General features: G+C 40.5%; 1 protein-coding gene across 7 annotated transcripts in view; it reads right to left on the bottom strand.

Moving 5' to 3' along the window:
* The window catches only part of PHEX (phosphate regulating endopeptidase X-linked), a 218,986-nt gene that overhangs the window by 91,117 nt on the left and 105,164 nt on the right, over positions 1 to 22,705 (bottom strand). Inside the window, exon 13 of one of the 7 annotated variants that reach the window (XM_047442159.1) lies at positions 19,793 to 19,948. The exons of the other annotated variants lie outside the window; for them this stretch is intronic. Coding sequence (XP_047298115.1) covers positions 19,925 to 19,948 — 24 coding nt within the window. The 3' untranslated portion in view covers positions 19,793 to 19,924. Of the gene's footprint in view, positions 1 to 19,792; positions 19,949 to 22,705 lie in introns of those variants that run through there. 7 annotated transcript variants of the gene reach the window in all.

The raw sequence follows: 22,705 nt of genomic DNA, 5'->3' as shown, positions 1-22,705 counted from the left end.
TTGTGAGGCCTCCCCAGCCATGTGGAACTGTGAGTCAACTAAACCTCTTTCTTTATAAATTACCCAGTCCCAGGTATGTCTTTATTAGCAGCATGAGAACAGACTAATACACATACTGAACATAAAATCAAGGCTCAGGACTCTCCTTAATGCTGAAAGAACATACAAACGTAATATTATCGATTACTTAACTGCATTTTTATTTAAAAAGCTGAGGAAAACCATTCTATAACAAGTTATCATCATCACATAAGGTATTAGCAATAGCTGAATTTTCTGAATCTCTCTGTTCCTCAGGTTCCTCGTCTGTAGAATATGGATACATTTAGTTCTAATACCAATAAAGTAAAATAGAGAGTTGGGAGAAGTATTCAGATAATAAAGGAATTATGAAGTTTGCCTTACCCATATCAGGAATAACCAAACTTTTTCTGTAAAGTGCCAAATAGTAAATATTTTAGGCTTTGCAATCCATATGGCCTCTGCACAACTACTCAGCTCTGTGATTGTACCTGAGAAAGCAGAAACAAGCTAGAACAACACATAAATGAATGGCTGTGACTCTGTTCCAATAAAACTTTATAGACACTGAAATTTGAATCTCATACAACTTTCATGTATCATAATATATTCTTCTTTTGGTTGTTTACACTTGGTGTGTTTTTTTGTCCTTTTGTGTTGTTGTTGTTGTTGTTGTTGTTTTCCTTTTTGTGGAGAACGAGGTCTCACTACGTTGCCCAGACAGGTCTCAAACTCCTGGGCTCAAGCAATCCTCCCACATCTCCCTCCCTAAGTACTGGGGTTCCAGGCATGAGCCATTGTGCCAAGCTGATTTTTTAAAACTATTTAAAAAATGTGAAATCCATTCATAACTTGTGGTTCACACAAAAACAGGCAGAATGCCAAATATGGCCCAAGGGCCATAACTTACTAAGCCAACACAGATAATTAAATAAAGCTAGGTTATTCGCTGAGTTGCCTCAATTCATGACACAGGGGCTAGTACACAGTAAGTGCTTAACAATGCTTCCAAACTGATCCATGCTCAACAGCATCATCTGTGTGCATGTGTGTGCACGTGCACGCACGGCTTAGCTATCAAGATTTTTATTTGTTTTTGCTTTGCTCTTTGCTATTACTACCATTTACATGCGACAGATCTCAGTTGCTTGGGAGTTGACTCCCTGCCCTAAAGTCTTAGTGCTAGAGCTTTAAAAATCACAATTAATTTCCATGGAGACAACAGAGAGTTTGTAAAGATTATTATTTGAAGAGAGAAACAACAGCTATCACAAATGAACTCAGAAAAATGAGGAACATTGAAAACCTAATATACAACATGATTTAAACTCTCAAATCACCCCCACCTTCCCAGAATTTTCAATACTGTATACTACAACTTGATAATGCTGGTGGGAAGAACAGAATCAGGCATAATTCTGCTTTATTTAGCTGTGAGCTCTGAAATGGCATCTACTTTTTATATATGTGACTGAACTGATTTAAAGATTGGCTAGGTTGACTGCTTTACTCCTGAATTTTCAAAGCCACTTACTATTAAGCTGATCTACAGAAAGGAAGACAGAAAGCTCATTTATTTTAATCCCCACTGACTTGGCTATTTAGGAGAGTCAGATAAATTCTCAAATGTCTTGCATGTATCACATCAAAGAGACCACTTTAATCACTTAATTAAATAGCTGTATGTTTAGTATACGTGGTTAAGTCTCAGCATATTTTTTCTTTTTTATTAATTTAACCAACTTAAGAAAAAAATGGAACAACTGATCACTGCCCTTTCATAAAAAATTTATAGGGCAACTTTCCTAAGCTTGCAGTGGCTTTGAAAGCTTCAGTCAGGCTCAATCATGCCAAGGCCTCATTTTCTCTGATGAGTTCTGTAATAACTATTAAACATCAATCAAAATTCTGAGCTTTAAGCACCCAGAAGTTCAGGAGACTGTACATGAATTACACTATCATTCAAAACAATGGCAGTTTCCATAATGCCAAACAAATGATTGACTAGTATAGATGCCTTAGCTGAAGATATTACCCTAAGCGGAGCTAATGGTATTGATGAAAATTAGTCAGGGGAACAGGCTTTAATATCCTCTGGGTCTATCAGGATCCCACAAATAATAACAATGCAGTTATCTGATGAATCAAATTTTATTCTCTTGATAAAATTGAACTGATTTATTATGAGTCTTCAAAAACTTTAATTCTGCAAATTGCTTTTGGGTGCGGTCCACAAGCAGATGCATCATACAGGGGTAGAAGATAGATAAGCACTTCCATGAATCAGAAGGCTCTCTAAGTGCAAATCACAGTTCTAATTGTACAAGAAGTAAAAGACAGGAAAGATCAGATTTCAGGTCATCCACCCTCAACCCCATGTGAATAATGCCCCAGTATAGCAGAAAACCCTCATTACTCTCTAAGATAGACAACATTCTAGGAAGGCATGTTCCAAATTATAAACAAGCACCATCCATGCTCTCTCCTAAAACACCAACTCAATATATTTTGGAGGTGGGCAGTTTCTTCTGTCTGCAAAAGGAAACTACTCTGGCAGAAGTAAATCTTAATTTTGCCATACTGGCACTAAACATTTCCCTGGTGTCTTTGTGATGCTCCTCTTACTTGGGTGAGCCCTGTACTGAACAGAGTTAAAGAAAGAAAGTAATATTTGAGTTTTCTTGGTAAACAGATGGAGCAGGTAGTAGCAATAGATTTTAGAAGCCAAAGCCACCTTATGATTAATTAATAAAACAACACACCCATCGTCCTTAGAGTGGTAGCAATATTACCTTAAAAATAGAGGCAACTCTCATTTATTTCCCTTATTTGTTTGTTTGTTTAATATAGACAGGGTTTCACCGTGTTGTCCAGGCTTGTCTCAAACTCCTGGACTCAAGCAATCCGCTCACCTCTGCCTCTCAAAGTGCTGGGATGGCAGGTGTGAGCCACCACACCCGGCTCATTTATTTCCTTTAAAACTGGGCAGGAGCTGGGCACCGTGGCTCACACCTGTTATTCCAGCACTTTGGGAGGCTCAGGCAGGTGTATCACTTGAGGTCAGGAGTTCCAGACCAGCCTGGCCAACATGGTAAAACCCTGTCTCTACTAAAAATACAAAAATTAGCTGGGCGTGGTGGCTTGCACCTGAAATCCCAGCTACCTGGGAGGCCGAGGCAGAAGGATCACTTGAACTTGGGAGGCAGAGGTTGCAGTGAGCCAAGATTGTGCCACTGCACTCCAGCCTGGGCAACAGAGTGAGACCCTGTCCCAAATGATAAAAATTAAATTAAAAAAAAAAAGATGAAAAGAAACTGGGCAGAAGAGTGGCCAAATCATAAATTTTTAAATCAATGTTTTTATTGGTTTCGATTATATGTGGTTAAACTGCTCACAAAGTTTGCAAATAGAACAGCTGCTAGACCTAGTCAAATGAATACCCTAAGCCTCAATTAGCTAAGCCCATTTATCCAGACATAACCAAAATGATAACAGCCCAAGAGTGGGAACAATCCTATATCACACTTAGGCTTTTATATGAGCCAAAATAAATTATGTTTGTCTCTGTCTCACTCACAGGGCTCTGTATCAGAGGTCAGCAAACTACAGCCCAAGCCAGCCTACCACATGTTTTTTTGTAAAGAAAGTTTTATTGGTCCGGAATATGCTACTGTAGCAAAGGACTATTTTGAGCTGAAGGTATCTGAGAATCAAGACAAGCAGAAAGAGGCTTTCTCCATGCTTCCCTTATCGGCCTACAAGCAGAGACTTCCAAAAGAATTCAACTGTCGTAAATCCCCCTTTTAAGAGACACTTCTTGCACCGGGGGAAAATAACTCCTCTCACCGGGGATAAAAAGTTGGCGCCAGGATGAGAACTTACATAAACAGACCTTACTAAAGCAAGCCTGACTTTCTGTTAGGTCCCCTCATATATTTCTCAGTCATTTCCCACCATTTATTGTCCCTTAAAATCCTAACCCTACCCCTTCTTAAGACAATATGTAACCCCCCAATTCTGTTTCTCTGGGCTGTGTTTTCTGTAAGCTCTCATGCAGGTTAGTGAATAAACTTTGCTTTTCTCTTGTTAATCCATCTTTTATAGTTTAATTCACAGGCCCTGACATTAAACCTAAAGTGGTAAAGGAAAAGTTGCTTTTTTCTCTCTGACGACAGCCACGTTCATTTAAGTATTGTTTACTGCCACTTTCATGCTACAGCAGTGGAGTTTGAGTAGTTGCAACAGAAGCCATATAGCCCACACAATGCCTAAGATGTTTACCATTTGTCTCTTTACAGAAATGGTTTGCCAACCCCTCTTCTACACAAGAGGTTTCCCCATTTTTCAAAACCAATAGTAAAGATAGCAAGGGAAAAATAAGGCACAAAGGTTAATCTTTTCGGAAAGTTTCATCAAGATAGAAATATATAATTAAATAATAACTATTTAAATAATTCTATAATTAGCTGTAATATTCATATTTTGTTGAGGTAAATATCTACATTTAAAACACAGCCAGTATAGAAATATTAACCAAAATGGGAATAAATACTATGAAATAAATCAATGCATTTTTTGGGGAATGGGAAAAAATACTTACAAATTATTTAAAAACATTTTCAAATATCAAGGTTGAAAGGGCTTAGAAACACACCTGCAATAAATACCAAGGCCCTAACACCTAACGTTTCTCAGAGAAATTTAATCAGCTACTTAATCCTCCTCCAGTTGTTAAATTACTTATTTAAACAGGAGGCAAGTTGGAGATTAACCTAGATAAACATATCCCCTTGTCTCATCAACAGTTTAAGTGGGAATTGTTGTCATTCTTTCCTTTAAGGTTAGCTCTTATATGAACAATTCTTTACCACCTAAAAACCTTGTGAAGTACCTCCCTCATAAACTGGTGGGGAGAGATCAAATGAGATAACTTTGGTGAATTATTAAATTAGACAAGTGTGGGCTGGGCACGATGGCTCACGCCTGTAATCCCAGCACTTTGGGAGGTCGAGGCGGGTGGATTGCCTGCGGTCAGAAGTTTGAAACTAGCCCGACCAATATGGTGAAACCTCGTCTCTACTAAAAATACAAAAATTAGCTAGGCATGGTGGCGTGTGCCTGTAATCCCAGCTACGTGGGAGGCTGAGGCAGGCGAATTGCTTAAATGCGGGAGGCGGAGGTTGCAGTGAGCCGATATCATGCCACTGCACTCGAGCCTGGGCAACGGAGCGAGACCCCGTCTCAATCAATCAATCAATGCAAGTGGGAATTTTCATATCATTTTTCTAAAAGAAGGGAATGTCATAGGGCCAGTGCCCACATATATGGCTTGTTCCTTTGACACTGGCATCGTCTAGCTTAGGGCTTCCCAAAGCTTTGTCTTTGGACTGGCAGCATCTGTGTCACGTGGGAGCTTGTTGAAAACACAAATTTGTGGGACAATGCTACATCTCTTGAGTTAGAATGCTTCTGAACTGGGACCCAGGAATCTGCATTATAATGAGCCTTACCATAAGGCAGGGTTTCTCAACCTTGGCACTATTGACATTTGGGAAAGAATCATTCTTATCTCTGGGGACTGTTCTGTGGATTGTAGGATATTTAGCAGCATTCCTGGCTGCTACCCACTAAATGCCAGTAACACCCTCTGTCCCCCCAGTTGTGATCAAAAATATCTCCAGACATTGCCAAATGTCTCCAGGTGTGTAACATCACTCTGGGTTGAAAACCACTACTATAGGGGAGTCTCATGCCTGCTGAAATTTGAGATACTCTCTGCTGTAGATCATGGTACTTGCCATGGTACCAAGGCTTCTGGACCCACTTCTGAGAACCCCCAACACTGTGTTATCAGTTCATAAGTAGGGGACTCATCCTCTGCTTCAATAATCCTTAGGGATTTCACTAATAGTCACCACTACTAAGCTAGTAGGTGCACTTTATGTAGAAAACTCTACCACCTTCCCTCCCACTCATTTTTTTAATTTTTAATTTTTGTGGGTACATAGCAGTTGTACATATTTGTTTTCTAATTTTTATTTTTAATTTTTGTGGGTACACAGTAGGACATCAATTTTCTAACGTGCCTCAGGTACTTGCAATTCAACCCAATTTCTGGCCAGTGCCACCTAAATCCCAGGATGATAAGGGACAAAGAATAAAAAACTATTGGAAAATGCTTTGCAGCTGTAAGTCGTGATATAAATATACCTCAGGATCTTAGAGATGTTTAGATTAAAAGTTCTAATAACTTTTCTCTCAGTAACTTCGCAAAATCTATTTTTAAGTACTTTCAGGCATCAAAAAAGCCATGTTAATACAATTACAGTTCACTGAAAAATTAGCACGCAATCCAGTTTGAAAGCAAAAATCAGTCATAGCAGGGTAATATTCCGTTTAATTATAAAGATTAATTCAACCTTCATTTATTTGTGCATGTGTTTGGTCTTTTCATTTTTCATAGAACACCCGAGATTCGAATGCCATCTGGTAGAATTGCTGCACGAGTGTCAGTAGCATCTATTAGAGTTGCAGATTTTATTTCCAAGTAGAATTGATAAAAGGACAAAGGGAGGGTGGGAAAAGAGGGGCATAGATGCAATAGACAATCAATTAAAAATGAGGTTTTCCACCAATCTGACAGGACCGTATCCCCACTCTGTGTTCTCTGTCCTGCCAACTGCACAAACTGTCTGAAATTGCAAGTCCTGCCGTTCGCATTTACTATATTTTCTGAAACAGCTATGTGAAGATCCAAGTAGCGCCATGAACAACAGCGTGAATTCTGGCTATAAATTATGAATTATGTCTACCATGTTTTCCAAAATGTATGCTACATCTTCCTTAAAATTTGGTCTTGGTCACATGGTGATTAAGATTAACCACTTAGGGCCAGGTACGGTGGCTCACAGCTGTAATCTCAGCATTTTGGGAGGCCAAGGTGGGGGCTTGAGCCCAGGAGTTCGAGACCAGCCTGGGCAACATAGGGAGACACCATCTTTACAAAAAAATAAATTAGTTTGGCATTGTGGTGCATGCCTATAGTCCCAATTACTCAGGAAGCTGAGGCAGGACTATCTCTTGAGCCCAGGAGATTGAGGCTGCAGTGAGCTATGATGGTGCCACTGCACTCCAGCCTAGGTGACAGAGCAAGACCCTGTCTCAAAAAAAAAAAAAAAAGTTGATCATTTACTTCATCATGACATCCATTAAATATTCAACCTTTTACTGAATGATCACTAAAAGGCAAATAAGCCCTGCATACTGGGAAACATCTTTTAAAATTTTTACTGCACTATATCGTACAAAGTGCACAAATACTAAGTATACCAATCAAATATTTTTTAAAACATACACACATCTGTGTTAGTAGGCCTGAGACAAGATTTAAAACATTTATAGCATCCTGAAGACTCCCCTGGGTACCTCCCCAGTGAATAACCCTTCCACCTTCAAAAGAACCGCTATCCTGATCTCTGTCTCCATAAATTACTTTTTCCTGTTCTTGAACTTCAAAAAAAGTGTGTACTCTTTTGTATCTGGCTTCTTCCACTCAACAACACATCTGTGAAATTTGTCCATGTTGTTGTGTTTAGACGGAGTGAAGACACACAGTTTAATAAACTGGATTTCTTTCCTTCAGGAGTTCATAGTTGGTCATAGGGAGAGAATGCGATGTAAGAGAAAAAACAACAGAAGAAGGTAGAGGGTCAGATGGAATGGATGGGAAGGGAAGGGCCTTGTGGAAAGGACATTTTCAAAGAGGAGGAGATCTCAGAGCTAAACAGAAACAGAAACAATAGACATAATTTTTTAAATAACAAAAGTAATGCTCTCCATTAAACCCTTACTATAAACCAGGTACTGTGCTAAGTACTTTACTTCATCATCAGATCCAAATCCTACCCTAACTGTACAAGGTAGGTACAGATCATCCCCATTTCACAGCTCATAAGCTAAGACTCAGAAAATGAGCGCAACTCACCCCAAGTCTACACAGGCAATGAGGGCCAAAACCAACTTCTCACCTAGATTAATTTAGCCTTAATCTGACTTCAAATTTCATGTTTTCCCAACATATATTATCTTCTGAGTGATTAAATATTCTATTATATAATTATTCATTTTTTATAAATCAAACTGAATAACATGTAAGGCACAGACCACATCTGCATTAGTAACCATATTCAACATGCCAAGACAAATAATATTCTCAGATGTAAGGATGAAAAGACACACACAGATAGAATTTTAAGTATGCTTTTAAGAGGTTCTCCCTCCCTCTCTAAAAATAATACCACTGAGCTTTCTGTTCTGGACATCGGTGGGACTAAACTTTGACTGAGAGCCCCCGGAAGACAAGACTTGGCCAAGAGAGAAGATCAAAATGGAAAAGGCAAGGCAAGAAAGTACAAGAATGATAAAGAAGCAGAAAGCAGAGAGGACAGGCTCTCCTGTCAGGAAACGTCAGAACATTTATTTTGCAGACCAGTCAAGGCACTAAGGTAAATTAGATTTTACCAGCAGAGAGAAGGTGGTATTCCAGAAAATGGCACCTCGGGGAGAGAAGGGTCAATCTCATAGAGGAAATTCCCAGCCAAAACCATGCTGAGAAATGGAGTCTGCCATAAGCATCCCTGGCCCAAGGATTCCTGGCCCACATCCTCCCATTTCAGAAGAGGAGTAACACCTCTCCCTTAGGAATCCTAGCACTGTCATAAAGATAGATGAGAGTCTGTTTCAGTTTTGAACCAATTAAACTGAAAACTTTCCTGAAGCTTAGGCCTAACTGACTTTGGGGTTTGAAATGCAGGAAATTTACCATGAGCAGCAGACCAGGAATCTTGCACCTTACTCCTGAAGCCCACAAGATGGAACCCTTCTGAGCTTTGAGTCCTTGGTTCCAAATTTGGGTCCCCCCAAAACTCTGACAACTTGGTTCTGTATTATCTACTTATTAGAATATATTATCAGCAACATTTAACTCTCTGCTACCATTAATAGCCATATCTGGGGCATGACCTATCTCAACACAAAATGTACATGTCCAGGAACCTCTCTGCTCTCTACCTCTCAGATAGCCAAAATACCAGCCTCTGTCGCCTTAGACAAAACACCAGAGATGAGTTGTAAAATGCAGGTCAAGGAAAAGTGACCTGAAGCCACCCTCTGCCTCTACAGTTCAGACCTGGTTATTTATTCTGAGATGCCCGTGGGCCACATTTTAGAATAAACCCTAGCTCTGTTTCGATCCATTGCTGAAGAGGCAGTCTAGGGAGAGAAATCAGAAAGGCCACCTATATTCAAGGCAAAGCAATGAGCCACAACCAAGGGACAATTGGGGCTGTTTGTAAACAGAGCCTAAATGTCATCATCAATTATTCATCAGTTCAACAAAGCCATTGAGTAACCTCTTTCAAAACCATTTAATTCTTACCTAAGATTCAGCCCAACAAAACAGGGAAGAAGCAAGATACGGCTCAAAAACTTGAGACAGGGAAAGCTCTAGACCAAGTTGGCAAGTCACAGCCTGTAAAATAAATTCAGGATACTGCCTGGTGTTATAAATAAAGTTTTATTGGCTCACGGCCTGTAAGACAAATTCAGGATACTGCCTGGTGTTGTAAATAAAGTTTTATTGGCACGCAGCCACACCCATTTGTTTGCCTATTGCCTATTGCTGCTCTGTACTACAGGTATATTTGGGTTGCTGCAACAGAGACCACATGACCTGCAAAGCCCAATATATTTACTCTCAGGCCTTCATATGTGAAAAGTTTGCTGCCCCCTGCTCTATATTCTCAAAGTATGGTCCATAGGCCATTGTCCAGCAGCATCGGCCTCCATTGGGAGCTTGTTAGAAATGCAGACTCTCAGGCTCCCCTCCAAACTTATTAAGAATCTGCATTTTTAACCAAGTCCCCAGGAGATTTGCATGTACATTCAAGTTGCAGAAGCATTGCTCCAGTAGGGCTCTGCTTCTCAAACTTGGCTGCTCATTCGAATCACCTAAGAGTTTTTATTTTTTTTATTTTTTTAAATATTAATGACCTGGATCTGAAGTGACATCAGGCTGGAAACTTCATAAGAGCTTCCAATTCCTACTCAAAAGGTCACATGGCATCCCACTATGTTCTCATTCTCATTAGATGCTGATAAAGGATGCTCAAATAAGTAACCAGTGATGAGGGGGGCTTGGGGAAGAAGAGAGAAAAGAGACTTTCTCCTTTTCTATTCTGTCATTTTTCCTCATTTCAAAAGTGGTCTCTCTCTCTCTCTGATGAGATTCTTATTTTTTCATGAATCATTTTTAATGGAAATCAGAAATTACTTAGAACTCATTGGACCTCATTAGAACATGATGTATTACAGATCTATACAAATCACTTTGCCAAAACTTAACCTTCATTTTCTTTTTTGAGACGGAGTCTCGCTCTTGTCGCCCAGGCTGGAGTGCAATGGCATGATCTCGGCTCACTGCAACCTCCGCCTCCCAGGTTCAAGCGATTCTCCTGCCTCAGCCTCCCGAGTAGCTGGAATTACAGGCAGGCACCACCACGCCTGGCTAATTTTTGTATTTTTAGTAGAGACAGGGTTTTGCCATGTTGGCCAGGCTGGTCTCGAACTCCTGACCTCAAGTGATCCACCCGCCTTGGCCTCCCAAAGTGCTGGGATTACAGGATTACAGGCATGAGCCACGGGCCCAGCCTTAACCTTCATTTTCAAGAGCCTGGAAGAACAAGCTGAATTGTTCCATAAACTTGTAAACTAGCTTTATAGCTTAACATCAGAGTTGAGTAAAGGTTCTGGTCTGTGGCCCTGAAGGACACAATCTCACTGTTGTCCTCGGCTTCACTCTGCCCTGGAACAGGTCTATTCCACTCAGTTCTAATCCTTACAAACCTCTGTGAGGAAGCTCTCATGAGCCTTCACTAAGACTGCCAATGAGAGAATACCAGAATATACCAGGGTGGCAGACCTGTCCCCTTCACCTTAGCTAAACAAAGACACAGAGTGGAGCATCACCTTTCCAACACTGAGTCTTTGGTTATGGCGTACAGGACCCCATAAGTCAGTGGAGGGGGTGTCTATAATGGAAAGTAAACTTATTTACTAATGAACTCAAATATAAAACTGGAAAATGATTTGCCTACTAGGATGGGTTGGGTCCCTCATGGCCTAGTCCAGTTCTGGGCCCTAAAACCTAGTAGGAATTTCTTACACCTGTACACAAAGGTCACGTGTCCCAAGGCTGAATCCTTTCCCCATCACAGTTCAACAATGATTAGGCTTACTCAAATACTTCTGTGAGTCGATGTATACAATGGTCTTGAGCTAAACAGAAAAAAATAATTCAGTCAATAATGAAAAATAGCCTAATCAACCAAACAGAAAAATAGAAAAAAAATGCTAAGTAAGCAAAACACAGAAAGAAAAATACTGTATAATCTCACTTATATGTGGAATCTTAAAAAGTTGTTCTCATAGAAACAGAGAGTAGAAAGTAGTTACCAAAGGCTGGAGGGAGGGGGAGAGATAGGGAAAGGGGAGATTTTGATTAAAGGGCACAAAATTTCAATTAGACTGGAAGAATAAGTTTTAGTAACCAATTGTACTGCATGGTGGCCACAGTTAATAATAATTTATTATATATTTCAAAATTGCTAAAATAATAGATTTTTAATGTTCTTACCAAAAAAATAAGTTTGTGAAGTGATGGATATGTTAAGTAGTTTGATTGAATCTTTCTATAATGTATACATACATCAAAACATCACACTGTACCCCAAAAATATATATACAATTATTATTTGTCAATTATATTCTGAGACTTCTGAGAACAGACATTAAGAGGACCGGCAGCTTCTGCTTTCTCTTCTTGGCACTCTTAGCTACCCTGTAGGAGTACCACAGCACCCTGTTGAGAAAGCCACATGAGGAACACTGAGGTGCCAGACACATGTGTGAAGAAGCCACCTTGGACGTCCAGCCACAGCCACCATCTGACTGCAACTGCCTAAGGGACTCCAGGTGAAACCAGCAGAGGAGCCACCCAGCTGAGCCCAGCCAACCCACAGAATCATAGGAAATAATAAAATACTTGTTTTAAGCCAGCAAGTTTTGGGGTAATTTGTTATGCAGCAATAAATAACCAAAACACAGACAACTACAGTAACTGAGTCATTCTACCTAGATGGAAAAAAAAATAAAACCTACTCTGTTCCTCGGGCCTTTCACTGATCCAGAACCAAAAAAAAAAAAACATAGCACAAAACTCCAAAATCTTCTATGAGCAATCCTTACATAAATTTCATTTTTTAAAAAGGAATTTTGTTCATTTGAACCACCACAAATGATGGCATTTACAATCAAAATTAAATTTATTTTGCAAAGTTGTCAGCACCTCTATCAGAATACTTGATCATGTTATTTCTTCCTAACATTGTTTCCTCTGACTTTTCCAACCCCAAATCTTTCCCTCTTTTCCCAGTATATTTCACCCTTTCTTCTCTTGGTATCAGGCTGTTTCTCCAGTTTGTATATGAGATTCTGCCAGAAATAGATTTGCTGTCATGCCCTCTGCTTGCCTTTACCCAGCTATGCTAGGGTCTCAAAAATGACAACTCAGAACACTGGGTTAAATACAATTTCTCTCTCTTCACCCATTTTCCACTATCTGCCTGTCCGGCCCTGGGGTTATTAATGGAAATGACATTCCTGTACAACTGACTGAGCAGGACCAGCAGCCAGATAACAAGGGTGCAGCTGACAGCAGCAGACACAACCCTAGAGACAGCACCAAAGCAGACACATTGTGGCTATTAGTTTCATCTTGGGCCAAAGAGAATGAGCAACACAAAATATACACAGAAAGCCTGAACATTCCTAATGGACTCTTTCCCCCATGAAATTAAAAGTCAATACATCAAAACTGATTATTTTTATTAAACCAAACTAAACGTATATTTTTAAGTGAATTCCTCATATAATTTGGATTTGGATTTGGATAACAAAAAAAAACAAAAGAAACAAGAGACAGGCATTAAATCACCACCACCCATCCCATGAATAAAAGTAATAAATATCCTCCATAATTCTTAAGAGGCATCTCTCTCCGCTTTGGGTCTCTAGAATTTTATACTGAGGCTATTGTGGCATTTCCCAACTGCTTTCAAAGTCCCACAGACAACCAGTCTCTTACATACCCTTAAAAACCAAACACTTTTACAGTACATGTTTAAACTATCACTACCTGTTGATATTGTTAGAATTTTTAAGTATTTACTATTCCAAGTTTCGTCTTTTATTTTTTTAATTAATTAATTAATTAATTTTATTTTATTTATTTATTTTTTGGAGACAGAGTCTCACTCTCTTGCCCAGGCTGGAGTGCAGTGGCACAATCTTGGCTCACTGCAACCTCTGCCTCCTGGGTTCAAGCGATTCTCCTGCCTCAGCCTCCCAAATAGCTGGGATTACAGGTGCGTGCCAACACGTCCAGCTAATTTTTGTATTTTTAGTAGAGATGGGATTTCGCCACGTTGGCCAGGCTGGTCTCAAACTTCTGGCCTCAAGTGATCCGCCTGCCTCAGCCTCCTAAAGTGCTGAGATTACAGATGTGAGCCACCACACCCAGACTCATCTTTTAATATAGTCCCACTGTTCCACAAATTTGAAATTAGTTATATTCCTCAACACTAGCATTATTTGTTTTTAAAATGTATGACATGGTTATATATTTGTATTCTTGATGATCAACACTGAAAATGCAACACTGCAGAGGTTTTCAAAAACCATGGAGTACATATTACGTGTGTTTCTATTGATATAAGCTACTGCCCCTTACAAAAGATAATTTACATCAGTCTCTAACAGATATTTCTGCAAATTTGCTCATTAATAAAATGCTGTATTTCAAGTTAGTAAGGTGCTACCCTTTCCCCATCAGAAAAAAATCAATATACTGTTCATTGGTGGGAGAACTAATTTAGGCACTGATTTACAAATTGTTCAAAACAGCTTATGATTAAATAGAGGTTAAACATTAAAGAGAATATCTTGTGCCAGGAGGCAAAGATGCTTTCAAAAACAACTAGGGTCATGTCAAAATTCACTAAAGGAAGAGCCCCACATTGGCCAAGATGGGACAATCTGAGCTTCAGTGAATGATGATCATAACAAATTTAAACACATCAAATACATAAGATTCCCTAAGTTGGTGATACTAAAAAGAAAACTATTTTGGCACCTCTGGAAGTGCTTAGGGCACCAACTTGTGAAAATTAATCAAGAGAAAGATAGCCATTTATGCTGTCTTTCCTGTATAAACTATATGTCAGAGTAATCAAGTGGTTGATGAGGGAAAATCCTTTTTTATAAAAACAGCCTAGCTAATAAATGCAAAAAGAATGATAGAATTTGAAAATCAAACATTGCAACACCGAATGGAATCACGAATCAATGAAATATTATCAATGGCCACTGAAACAATTAAGTCAGTGGTTTCAAGCCTGGCTGCACATTTGTATCTCCTGGGTAACTTTTTTTTTTTTTTTTTGAGACAGAGTCTTGCTCTATCACCCAGGCTGGAGTGCAGTGGCATGATCTTGGCTCACTGCAACCTCCACCTCCTGGATTCGAGCAATTCTCCTGTCTTAGCCTCCCAAGTAGCTGGGATTACACGTGCATGACACCATGCCTGGCTAATTTTTGTACTTTTAGTAAAGATGGGGTTTCACCATGTCGGCCAGGCTGGTCTGGTCTCAAACTCCTGACCTCAAGTGATCTACCCACCTCGGCCTCCCAAAGTGATGCGTTTACAGGCGTAAGCCTCTGCGCCGGGCCCCTCCTGGGTAACTTTAGAAAATGCCTGTGTCCCACTCCCAGAGAGTCTGATCTTCATATGGGGTGTGGCCTGAGCCTCAGGATTTTTAAAAAGCTTCCCAGGTGATTCTAATGTACAGCCAAGAAACAGGACTGCTGCATGAGGAATGGTAAGAAAGTTCAAATGAAAGGATCAGGCTGACAACACCTGAACACACGGATCGCCCTTCGCTTTGCAAGTGGGACAACGTGGCATTGTGAGCCTCTTGATAGATGCAACAGGAAGCTCACAGCACTGCCTATGAAGTCTTCTTATCCAAAGAAAATTGAACCTGAATCTAATCAAACCTCTAGATAGAACCAATTACAGAAAATGTAAGAGACAGAACAACATGTTAAAAGACAACATTAAGAAATAACTAGCAAAACAAGATTGTTAAAAATTCTACCAGACAAATGACTCAATTTATTTCATAAATAAATTTCATGGATGGAGAGGCGGTACTCTTAAAATTTAAAAAGCTTTAAAAGATGTACCTATTGACTGCAATATGCAGACCTCATCTGGATACTGATTCAAATCAACCATTTTTTTTTTTTCAAAAAAAAGAAAGCAAACAATTTTGAGATAATTATAGGAAACTGCACACAGACAGGATACTAATAAGGAATTAATGTTAATATTGTCAAGTATGTTAATGGTATTATAGTTAGGTTTTTAAAATTCCTTATATGTTGGAGATACATAATGAAATATTTATAGTAAAATGGTGTCAGAGATGGAATCATAGTAAAATGATTTCATAGATGGAATTAGCTTTAAAATTCTCAAGCATAAAAACAAGTAGGGGAGTAGATGAAATCAGCATGATAAAATATTACTAACTGTTGAGTCTGGGTGATAAGTATACGGAGATTAGTTATGTACATTTTTGCGTACATTTTTAAATTTCCATAAAAATATTTTTAAATATTAGAGGCAAAGTTTAATAAAATTCTATTTTGTACCTCTGCCCCAAAGAAAACAATGTAATTATGTAACTGGCATCACTTTTTCATTCCCAATTTTAAGACACTATAATGGAGCATGTTATTTAGTGAGGGAGGCAGTTAGAGGAAACTTGGGAAAAAAAAATGAACATGTCATCTTACTAATACTGAGCACTTACTCTGTGCTAGCCACTGCACATATATTAATTGTTCCACTCAGTAAAAATAGGGACAAAAGTATTTGTCCCCATTTCATGAGTGAGGAAACTGAGACCCCCAAAACTGCCCATCTTGCCTGAGGTCCCATAGCTAGTGTTTGGTAAAGCCATGGTTCTTACTAAGTTCTGCCCAGTGGTCAAAGAATGGAGTGTCAGATCCACATTAGGTTCTGAAAATACAAAAATAAAGTAGTCAGACATACTTCTTTCCCTACAGGAGTTGCTTCAATTCAGTAATATATAGCTGGGGGATAGTATTTCAGCTATGAATAAACACTACGATGCTATTGCAAAAAGTTCAGAGAAGACAGGAAAGATCTCACTATCAGAAATGCTACAGGGGTTTATTTTGCTATTCCTTTTCCAAGACTATCAATGGGGACGCCAATTAAACAGAATGAGAAGATACATGCTACAAAGTGGATGAGTCTCGAAAACATAAGGCTAAGTGAAAGAAGCCAGTCACAAAAATCGCATTGGTGCGTGATCTCATTCACAGGAAATATCCAAAATACATGAATCCATAGAAACAAAAAGCAGATTGGTAGTTGTCAGGAGCTGGGGGAGTGGGGAATGGAGAGTGACTGCTTAATGGGTACAAAGTGTCCTTTGGGAGTTACAAAAATGTTTTGGAACTGGATAGAGGTGGTGATCACACAACACTGTGAATGTTCTAAGTGCCACTGAATTGCTCACTTCATTTCTTTTCTTTTATTGATGCATAATATTTGTACATATTTATGGGTACATGTGAGTAGTTTTTACCTGCATAGAATGTGTAATGATCAAGTCAGGGTATTTGGAGTGCCCATCACTGTGAATATTCATTATTTCTATGTGTTGGTAACATTTCAAGTCCTTTCTTCTAGCCGCTTTGGAATATACAATATACTGTTGCTAACTGTAGTCACTATAATCTGCTATTGAGCATGAGAGCTTATTTCTTCTATCTAATTGAGAATTGTTCACTTTAAAATGGTTAGTTTTATGTTAGGTGAATTTTACCTCAATTAAAAAAAATGTTTAAGGATGAGAAGCTAAGGGAGGGGAATAACTAAAACAGAAATGGTATAAATTTGAGAGCTGGCAGAAAGAAGCAACACGATTTGTGCTTACAAGTTGGCTAAGAGGAAAGACTGAGATTTCTGATTTGGTTGCCTGAACAGCTGGCTGTTTTCACAGAATGATATAATCTGCACTTAGGTAACATGGAACTTCAGAAAAATGAGAACCCAGTGAAGCTTTGTTCATTTCCTCAGGTTTCCACATTTTAAACAGAACAATACATTGGTAAATTAAAGAATGCCCTAAATACAGTATAACTGGATGATATCAACGCATTGCTAAATATCTCAAGGTCTCCTTGCAGGCAAAAGGGAGAATTTAAATCATAGTTCCATGGAGTTTGTCCAAAGTAGAACAACTAGACCAAAAATCTATTAGTTAGTGAATTGACTGGCACCTAACAAAAGACTCACCACTTAGAAGTTTCTCCCTGAATATTTTTGTTCAATAGATAAATCTGGAAGGGCATTGCCAAAGGATGAACAAATTGGCTGATTCCAATTCCCTTTTTTTGAGCATGTCCATTCATAATAACCCCAAAATAATAAAACTAAAAAACAAACTTATCAAGTTATGAACGACATAGAAACAGTAGTTGATATACTGAAGGAAAGAGTTGACCTTTTCAAAGGTTGTCTGAGATGCCATTCTAAGGAATTAGTCCTACATTTAGGGAGAAGGCATTATGCAAAAGATGTGTATCATAGTAATAACTATAACAGCACAACCTAAACATGCAACTATAGAGAAATGTTTAAGTAGTACCTCCTGTGCCACCACTAGAAGAATATGTCATAGTAGTGAATATTCTTTTTGTGTGTGTGAGAGATAGAATCTCACTCTGTCGCCCAGGCTGGAGTGCAGCGGCGTAATCTTGGCTCACTGCAACCTCCGCCTTCCGGGTTCAAGCGATTCTCCTGCTTCAGCCTCCCAAGTAGCTGGGATTACAGGCGCCTGCCACCACACCCGGCTAATTTTTTGTATTTTTAGTAGAGACAGGGTTTCACCATGTTGGCCAGGCTGGTCTCAAACTCCTGACCTCTAGCGATCCACCCGCCTCGGCCTCCCAAAGTGCTGGGATTACAAGTGTGGGCCACTGTGCCCAGCCAACAGTGAATATTCTTGCATAAAGAATATGCAATAATACAAGAAATGCTTATAATAAATGTTAAGAGAAAAAAGAACTCAAATTTTTATAAACATCATTGTTCAAGAATGCCTTTCAAAGCCTATGTATGGGAAAAAAGTCAAAGTGATACATCAAAATGTTAGCAGCAGTTATGTTTAGATGATGGAACTAGAACTTTTTTTTGTCTTTCTACTGTTGTGCTTTATTTTCCAGATTTTTTAAATGAGCATAGATTTTTAAAACAATAATAAACATGTAGGAGGTCCAGAAATATACTTTTTGAAAGCCAGAGCCATGAACCAAAACAACTAAATGGATTTTAATAAGAATAAATGTGAAGTTCTGGGATGAGGGTTTTTTTTTTTGTTTGTTTTTTAATGCCAAGTTTAGGACTGGAGCAACAGGGCTTAACAACAGTTCCTGTGAGCGGGGAAAAAAAGACCTAGAAATTAACTGACTAGAAATTCGTTATGAGCCAACAGTGAATGGCTGAGGGGAAAAGATAGCCATAATGTAAACTTTGGATTTCTTAATATAATTTGTATGCAAGACAAAGGCAGTAATAATATTCCCATTGTGCTGTGTGAGTTACACTATACCTAGAATATTGTGCACAGCCTTGAACTTAAGCTTCTAAAAAAGATATTGAAAACTGGAGAGCAGCCAGCAGGATGAGGCATCAGAACCACACCTTAGAGCAATGGTTCTCATACTTGGGCTGCATCAGAATCACCAGCAGGACTGATTAAAGTACAGATGCCTAGGGCCTCTCCCAGAGTTGCTGATTCTATAGATGTGGGATAGAGCCAAGAATCTGCATTTTTAGCTAGTCCTGAGTGATGGCGATGCTTCTGGACTGGGGACCACACTTTGAGACCCACTGGCATTGCGGATAAAAGCACAGACTGTGAAACCAGACCTCTAGGGAGGGAATCCCAGCTCTTCTACCTACTAGCTGTGTGACCTTGGGTAAGTGTGCTCACACTCTCTGTGCTTCAGTTTCCTCATCTGTATTAAAAAAAAAAAAAAAGTACCTACCTCATACGGATATTATGGCATTGAGAGAGCTAATATTTGTGAAGCATTTAGAACATCCAGTCTGACTGTAATGTTGGTTAATTTAATGTGAGAAACACTAAAGGTGTTTTATTTGAAATAGAAAAAACAGCCAGGCACGGTGGCTCATGCCTGTAATCCCAGCACTTTGGGAGGCTGAGGCAGGCGGATCACTTGAGGTCAGGAACTCAAGACCAGCCCGGCCAACATAGCAAAACCCCATCTCTACTAAAAATACAAAAATTAGCCGGGCATGGTGGCGCATGCCTGTGGTCCCAGCTACTCGGGAGGCTGAGACAGGAGAATCACTTGAACCCGGGAGGCAGGGGTTGCAGTGAGCCAAGATTGCACCACTGCACTCTAGTCTGGGCCACAGAGCAAGACTCTGTCTCGAAAAAAATAAATAAATAAAATAAAATAAAGAAAAAAGAAAAACATTTAAACATCTTCAAACGTTGGAAGGGCTTTTATGTGGAAGACTTAACCTGGGTAGTTCCTGGGGACAGATGTGGAGTCAAGGAGCAGAAATGACCAAGAAAGAGCCTTTGGATCTCTCTCAAGCAGGGCTCTTTAGCAGAGACAGCAACAGTAGAGTAGGTGGCCTGGCTGGGTTCTGGGTGTCCTAGTACTCACTCAGGGGACCCACCTGCGAGAAATGGTGAAAAGGGGACTCCAGTAAGAGGTAAGACAATCACTTAATGAACATTATACCCTTCTATTAACACAGGCTTGGCATAAGGACATTTTCACTTGTAATCACCTAGAGCTCTCAAAGCACAGGCCCCAGACCAGCAGCATCAGAATTGCCTGAGAACTTGTCAGAAATGCAAATATCCAGGCTCCACCTTAGCACTACTGAATCAGAAATTCTAGGGGTGGGGCTGGCAATTGGTGTTTTAACAAGCCCTTCAGATGGCACTGATGCATGCTCAAGTGTGAGAATGAATGACCTAAAGCATCCCCCTAAATGACATTTACATGAGGCTCTAGAGCATGGAAAATCACTCCGGTAAGATATCACATGTACTATGCCTTTAATAAATATATGTTGGCTGGGTGTGGCAGTGGCTCACACTGTAATCCCAGCATTTTGGGAGGCTGTAGCTGGCGGATCGGTTGAGGCCAAGAGTTTGAGACCAGCCTGGGCAACACAGTGAGATCCCATCTCTACCAAAAAAAAAAAAAAAAATTAAGAAAACCACTTAGCTGGATGTGGGGGCACACACCTATAGTTCCAGGTACTCAGAAGGCTAAGGTGGGTGGGGGCACACACCTATAGTTCCAGATACTCAGGAGGCTAAGGTGGGTGGATCGCTTGAGCCCAGGAGTTTCAGGCTGCAGTGAGCTATGATTGTAACACTGCACTCCAGCCTGGGCAACAGAGCGAGACTTTAACTCGAAAAAATAAATAGATATATGCATCAAACTCCCACTTATACCAGATATTTACTTTTGTGTTTAAAATATATATCACAACGACAATACTGAATTTGTTCAAAACCACAAAATCCAAAATCCAGAGAAAAGAAATGCATCCCCTCCAACACCCTCTCAGCAGGGGCTGCTCACAAATATCCCTCCTCTCACCGTCTGGTCCAGCCAAAGCCTCCCCTCCCAGAGGCACAGCAGTTTGGACCAAACGGCTGACAACTTGGGGAGCCTTTCTCATGCTCCAGGCATTCTTATAAGTACTTTAGGCACAGTGGCTCTTTTAATCCTCATAACAAATCTTCTGAGACAGGGACCAATCTCCCCAGTTTATGGATGTGAAAACTGAGGGTGGAAGAAGTTAAGTAATTTCCAAAGGGTCATACAGTCAATAAGGTGTAGAAGTTGGCTTGGAAACTAGGCAGTCTCTCACCTGTCTATACTCCTGACCTCTATACCATACTTCCTGTTGAGGCCAGTGAGAGGAAAGAGATACAAGTATGAAGGCCGCCATCTTGGCCTGCATGTGTGTGAGAGAGACATAGAGCCAAAGAGAAGGGACAAGCTCGGGAAGGTGGCACATGGGAGGGAGCCACAGCCCGCGGTTTCCATGCTGGTCTACCAGTCACTGTCCCTGGTGAGCCCTGGAGTGGATGCCAGACGCAGGGTGACTGCATTCTTGAGCGGTTATGCAAATGTGCTAGAATCTGTAACTGGAAAGGGCAGGAGACAGTTTGATGAAAGCCCTTCTGTTTCTTTTCTCCTACGAAACAATTTAAAATGCACAGTGAGGTGAAGCAGGAGTGAAGGTATCAAGGGGAAGTGACAGCCAGATGCAGAGTTGGGATTAGTAAGGAAGGAAGAGGAAGACTTGCCACAAGGCTGCAAGACAGGGTGTGGGAACACCACAGAGGAAGAGAGAAAGGGGCAGAGTAGGCACTTCCCAAGTAAGGCACCCTCACATGTCATGTTTGAGCTCCCCTAGACTCCCAGGACCCCTTTCGTCTCCATCACGTTACCTAACACTTCTCCTGGTCTGCCCTGCATCCATGGCCTCCTGTTCTCTCCTAGGAGCCTGAAGGCCCCCGCAGAAAAGGGACTGTGGCTGCTCATCTCTGAGTCCGAATCCCGGCTCAGCACCTGGCATGCTGTTGGTGTGCTAGAAATGTTTGTGGCATTGAGTCTGCTGAAGCAGTGCTAGCAACCAGACTCGGTGAAATGTGCTGTTGCCTTACAGGCAAGGAAGCACTGGGAAAGCGTATACCCCCAGGGGCTGTGTCCTAGTTGGGAATCCCCCAGAAACAGACTCTAAGACAAGGATTCAAGTGCGAGCAGTTCATTTGGGCAGCAAAAGAAACACTGGTAGGAGAAAGAGGAAATATGTAGAGAAAGAAAGGCAGTCAGCAACGAGTATCTTAGCTAGTATAATAGCTCTAGCCCATTGGAAAAGCTCCCAGAGCCCATGTGGAACACGCACTAGAGGGATGAGGGAGCGGGGGCCACACACAGCAACTCCCATCAACTGTTGGGTGAGGACTTCTGAGGAAGGTGTGGTCATTCCCCGTCCTTTGGGCCCTCTTTATGAGTAGCAAAGCAGGCTGTAGCAGGGAGAGAATGCTCTTGGCCAAAATGCAGGAGGCTGCAGTTGGAAGTCAGGCAGGTGTGCTGTGAAGTGGTAAGGACAAGACAGGGGTTCCCAACCCTTTTCACGCAGCAGAATCACCAGGTAAAACACAAGGCACTGAGCCCTACTCCCAGAGCTCAGCAGGTGGGGATGTGAAAATTTGCATCTCTAATGAGTTCCCAGGGACCACTGCTGCTACTGGTCTGGAACCACACCTTGAGAACCACCAGGCTCCGGATATAAGCAGAGCCCTGACCGCATACCTGGGAGAAGTCCAGTACCTAGGCCTGGTAGAGCTTAGAGACAAAGCCAAAGAAGTGGGCTACACCTCTGTTTCGCCCTCTGCAAGAA

The sequence above is a fragment of the Homo sapiens genome, chromosome X, assembly GCF_000001405.40.
Source record: "Homo sapiens chromosome X, GRCh38.p14 Primary Assembly".
Lineage (NCBI taxonomy): Eukaryota > Metazoa > Chordata > Mammalia > Primates > Hominidae > Homo > Homo sapiens.
Note: the sequence above shows the minus strand (reverse complement) of the source record. Positions and strands in the feature narration are given on the sequence as shown.